We start from the raw sequence: 6,000 nt of genomic DNA on the forward strand, positions 1-6,000 counted from the left end.
GAAAATATAAAGCTATATTAACTTGGAGTTAGAGGAGTTTGTGGATTTAGAAGGAGCCAAGTGTTGAAGAAATGAGATGTTGATGAGCGAAAGGATAAGAGGATACAATAGTGGGACTTTAACTCAGTATAGCAGTGAGATTTTTCATAATTCTAGAGAAATATGACAAGGCAACTTGAGACTTTTTGGAATTAGTGCAATGAGAATAATCTTTCTGCCATTATTAAACTGATATGTGCTTATTCCTCCGTTTAAATCAGGTTCAGCCCAGTGGCCTTCACCTCAATTATTTCCCCAGGGTAGGAGAGTAGAACATATGATTTATACAGCTCTAGATATAGGTATTACTGGGAAAAGAAGTGATTTGTTAAATTTAACTTGTCAAATATTAAACCCAGGAGACTGACTGAAATTGGAATCCTCTCAAGTTATAAAAGACCAACCACTTTTACCTCTGATATGAATCAACTCATGTCATCACTGAATGTTTTCATTAATGTAATATCATTGAATACTAAAAACAAAACAAAAAAAAACAACATATACCCAACCAATTTATTCCAAGGACATCACTGACAGAAGAAAGCAGTGTGAAAGTGCATTGAAAGGGTAGGGCCATGTTTCTATATCCTTCTGTTATCACCAGAAATATTAATGAATCAACTAGTTTAATTGAAGGCAGGATATTTTTTCAAAACGGAGAGAAATACTTGATGACAAAAGGTGGACTTCTGTGTAAGTGTGAGAGTGTGTGTTGCTGTGTGTTTGTGTTCTCTTATCTAAATAATAAATGAGTTGCTTTGGCTCTCTCCGACAACTTCTCATTTGAGTTCTTGCATCATGGTTTAGTTTGTGGAATCATAAAAATTATTTCTGCAAATATTCCTCTCCTGCTTCTATTTTTTAAATTTTCTCTGGCATGTGCAATTATCACAATTCCACAAGGAACTACATCATAGTTCTAAAACATTAATGACAAAGGGAAAATGTTAAAAGTGTTCAGAAGGATAAACATCTATTACCTGAAAATGAATAATTATGACAAATAACTATAGTAGAGTAGTGCTGAATGAAGAAACAAAATAATGTTCTAAATATATTGCAGAAAATACATTTAGAATTGCATGTGTAATAAAACTATCACAAATATGACAGCAAAAGAATCAAATTTCAAATTAAAATAAGCACTTAGAAAATTTACAAAGTTTTTATTTTTAGTGGACTTTAGAGGATGTTTTTTAAGCAAAATAAGAGAGAAAGCTGGGAAGAAATCAACGTGATGTTGTTGGGAAGTAAAAGAAAGTAGATTTCTTAGTGAGGTGAGTGATCATGTTGATAAAATTTATCAGAGAATTAGGAAGAGAGAGAGAGAAAGAAGAGGAATTTATTCGTAGAATTAGAAATTCTAGAGGATTCTACACCAACAATTGGCAAAAAAACTGAGGTAATAGTATTCAGAAACTGATTTAGAATTTGTTTCAGGGAAATAAGCAAGGAGGTCATTATTTTGTTTCAAGATAATACCTAGCTAGATTTTCTATTTGTTGAGCTGTAGGGGTAAAGGCTAATGTATACGTTTTTATCCACTGGAAAGGCAAATAATTTATGGTAGAAGAGGTGTCTCAAAATGTTATGGTTTGGGTCCTGTACAACATGTCCTGTATATTAAAATTTCATATAATCATAACACCTTTATATGTGATGGTTCATGCTTCACTTTGCCTTCCAAATCTTGTGCAAAATTTCTCTTCTGGTCAACTCTAACCAGGTTGTATAGGAAAGAAGATTTTGTTGGGTATCTTTCTGATTAACATAAATTAATATTATCAAGGGAGTTCATGATGTAATTTCATATCATTCTCAAAAGTATGTATATATATTGTTTTTAATACTACTGTATCCTGCTTATTTAATTTGGGAATTGCACTTATTGGAAGGTCTACAATATTCAATATTTATATAGAGAACTGTGCTCCTGTTGTTAATTTTAAGACATTTTAAAGAAGTATCCTGTGTACTTTTAAGTGATTTATATTAATATTTTAGACATAATTGTCTTTATTCAACTACATACTGTGACTCAGAATAATTATATTGTTCAATCAAACCAGGTAGGTTGTAAATGAATGTTATGTTTTATGCATCAAACACAATAATCAACTAATTATAATATTTCAGAATACAATGTTATTCAACATTATAAGTCATCAGGGAGATGCAAATTAAACCATAAGAAGATACTATTTCATAGCCAGTTTAATCCAAAAGACAAATAATACCACACATGTCTTTGACGAGGATGTGGAGAAACCAGAATCTTCATACATTGCTGATTGTACTGTAAAATGGTGCAACCACTGTGAAAAATAGTTTGGCATTTTCTCCAAATGTTAAAACTAAAACTACCAGGTGATCAGTAACACCATTTCTAAGATTCTATGTATGTATATATGTATGCATGTATCTACCTATCTATTTCTTTTTCTTTTTTTTTTTTTTGGGAGAAGGTGTCTCACTCTGTCGCCCAGGCTGGAGTGCAGTGGCGCGATCTCGGCTCACCGCAAGCTCCGCCTCCCGGGTTCACACCATTCTCCTGCCTCAGCCTCCCGAGTAGCTGGGACTACAGGCGCCTGCCACCACGCCCGGCTAATTTTTTGTATTTTTAGTAGAGACAAGGTTTTACCGTGTTAGCCAGGATGGTCTCAATCTGCTGACCTCGTGATCTGCCTGCCTCGGCCTCCCAAAGTGCTGGGATTACAGGTGTTAGCCACCGCGCCCGGCTGTATCTATCTCAAAGTATCTGTGAGTAAAAACATGTTCAGAAAAAAACTGCATGCAATTTTTTACAGCAGCATTATTCTTAGTAGAGAAAAGCTGCAAACAATTTAACGTCTACCAACTAGTTTATGTTAGCCAATATATAATATGTTCACGAAAAAGAATATTATTCAAAATAAAATGGACTATTGACACATGCTACCTCATGAATAAACTTCAAAACACATGGTAAGTGAAACAAGCTAGACATAAGCCCACATATTCTATGAATCCATTTATATGAAATCTTCACAAAAGGCAAAAGCAAGACGAAAGTAGATTTGTGGTTGCCTAAGTCTAGGCAGGAACCAGAATCAATTATAAATTGGCATGATGGGAGAAAAATGTTCCAAAACCTATTTAGGATGATGGTTTAATCAGAGAAAACTCACTAAAAATGTTTGAATTATCTATATGAAATGGTTAATTGTATGATATCTAGAAGATACCTAAGTAAAAGTTAAAAAAGAATTAGAAAAATGCTCAGAATATTTTCATGTTTTATTTTATTTTCCTTTCTAATATCATCTGGTTCAAGATGGAAATGTGAAAAGTTTAAAGAGAAATGAAATCCTGTTGACTCATCAAACTCACCCTTATACCTAAGTAATTTGCTATACAATTAGTACATTGAAAAGAAGACACCACTGTCTACACACGTAAATGACCAAAAAAAAAAAAAATACACAGCTCTCTGATAATGCTACAATATTATCAACATTGAATATTGGTGAATTTGATTGCATATAAATTATATCTTTATAAAGATGGTAAAAAAAAAAACCACCCACAGTTAAAAGAACATGTGAGGAACTTCCAAAAAATCAACAATAAAATAAAACAGGTAACTCAAAGAAAAACAGGCAAAAGATAAACAGTCAGGTTATAGACAGAAAAAACTGAATAAGTATCAAACATATGAAGACCTACTCAACTTTGCTAAAGAAAGAAATTTATTTTTAAAACAACAATGAGATTAAGATGTTTCTAGATTAGACTGGGAAAATTAAATAAAATGAATTATGAGATTATAGGAAGTTTTAACAAAAATAAAGGGAAAAACTTCATTATCTAAGGACAGAGTTATCTAATATAGTCATTCTATAAAGTTATTGTGAAGAACTTAGATAAAATATGAATATGTATATTATAGGTATATCATTAGTCATGGGTGTGGACATTGATTGAAGTATTGTTTGTGTTTAGGAAGAATGGAAGCTGGTTTGGAGACTATTACTGGTAAAATGGAAAAGTAAGATATGGTGGTTGCACTCCATAAGCTGTGAAGAATTTAGATGTGTTAGCCTATAAACACAGCTGAACAGCTAGTTTCAAACACCAAAAGAAAATAAGGCATAGCACAAAATCATTTATACGAATTAAATTACTTGAACACATTAAACTAAACACTGCTTATTTTATTTAAATAGTTACTAACTCGATGATATATGTTAAACAGCTTAGAATATTGACTATATGGTGTAGAATGGGAAATAGAGGAAATGGGCCTAAAAGGGAGTAACTAAATAATGGCATGCATTTTCTATTGCTACAGGAAAAATGTAATGTAATTTAGCAGCTATGAACAATGCCCATTAATTATCTCATAATTCTGTAAGTCATACATTCAGGAGGTTTGCCTAGTTCCTTAAAGAAGTTTGGTGGCATCTGCTTAGAGTCTCAAAAGGTGAAAATCAAGGTGTTTACGGGGCTTCATTCGTTACTGGAATATCTTGAAGGAATATCTTTTTTCAGGTTCTGTAAGGCTGTTGGCAAAACTCAGTTCTTTGTGGTTTTAGAACTGAAGTCACATACCTTTGTTGCCTGTTGGCCAGGAGCTGTTCTCAGCTTCTAAAAGCTGGCCAAAATACTTGACTTATTTTATTTCTCTATTTTCGAGGGCAGCAATGTGGATGGAGTTGTTATGCTTCCAGTCTCTCTGATCGCTCCTTATACCTCACCTCTCCTCCACTTTCCTTTTCCACCACATCTCTCTGAGTCCAGTGAAGAAATTTCTCTGAAATTTTTCAGCATATAAGAATAACTTCTGATGGCATTAGTTATACCTTTAAATTATCATTTTTAGCATTTCATTGTATGTCTAAACCATATATTCTTAAATTTAATTACCACAGTTTTGCTTTTTTCTTGTTTTTGTGATTTGATACCAACCCTTGATTAGTAAAGAAAATGGAATAAACTTCTTCCTTCCAAGAAACAGCACTTTTTTTAAGTAAAGATGGAATATGTGTAATAGGTGAGGGATAACTAAAACTTGTCACATAAGGCAGGTAAGACCCCAACAATTGATCTAAGACTCAGTATTCAATGACCTATTCATTACTGAATAATTAAAAAGCTACATAAAAATCAATGCTACCTACACCTTAAAAATACATTTTAATTCACCCATAGATTCCCACAACCTTTTAGACATAAAGAGAAAATTTAGTATTAACTGAGAAAAATAACCCACTACCTATTGAATTCAGGTACTGTTGCTTAAAGGACAGCTACAGAATTCTCATCTCAATATTTTCATGTAAAATAAGTGGAAATCAATAGTCCAAATATCCTCATTAAGAAGGAGCCACTAATAAACAATATATTTATAATTTAGATAACATTTCATTCATATGCAGGTTTTGAACCCTGTGGAATATTTAATTTGCACCAGGCTTTCCAAGTACTTAATTTGTAAGAATTTTTTTTCAATGGGAGTTCTAAGATGACTTTTGAAATAATTATTAAAATGAAGACATCTATGTTTTGCAAACTATGAGGATTTAGATACAGAATACATTCTTTCATAAGATCCATCTCCATTGTGGATATGCCATGTGTCTTTGAAAGTACTTGAGAGAAAGGCATTCCCACATTCCGCATATTTGTAGGGTTATTCAGGAATTAGTTCTTTCATGTCCTCAACTAGAAATGGAAACACTTAGGGCATTACCACATTGTTTACATGCAGTTTTTTTCATTCAGTATGAGTGTTTTGTATTTTCAAAGGAAAGTGAAACAATTGCGTGCTTTCCCGTATTCCTTACATTCATTGGTTTCCTTCAAATGAGTTTTTCAGTGTGTTCAGAGGGAACTGAAACAGAAAGTTTTTATCACATTTCTCATACACATAGGATTTTTCTGTTGTATAATTTCATGTTTTCAAAAAAACTCAACTGT

The sequence above is a fragment of the Homo sapiens genome, chromosome 21 (assembly GCF_000001405.40).
Source record: "Homo sapiens chromosome 21, GRCh38.p14 Primary Assembly".
NCBI classification, from domain to species: Eukaryota; Metazoa; Chordata; class Mammalia; order Primates; family Hominidae; genus Homo; species Homo sapiens.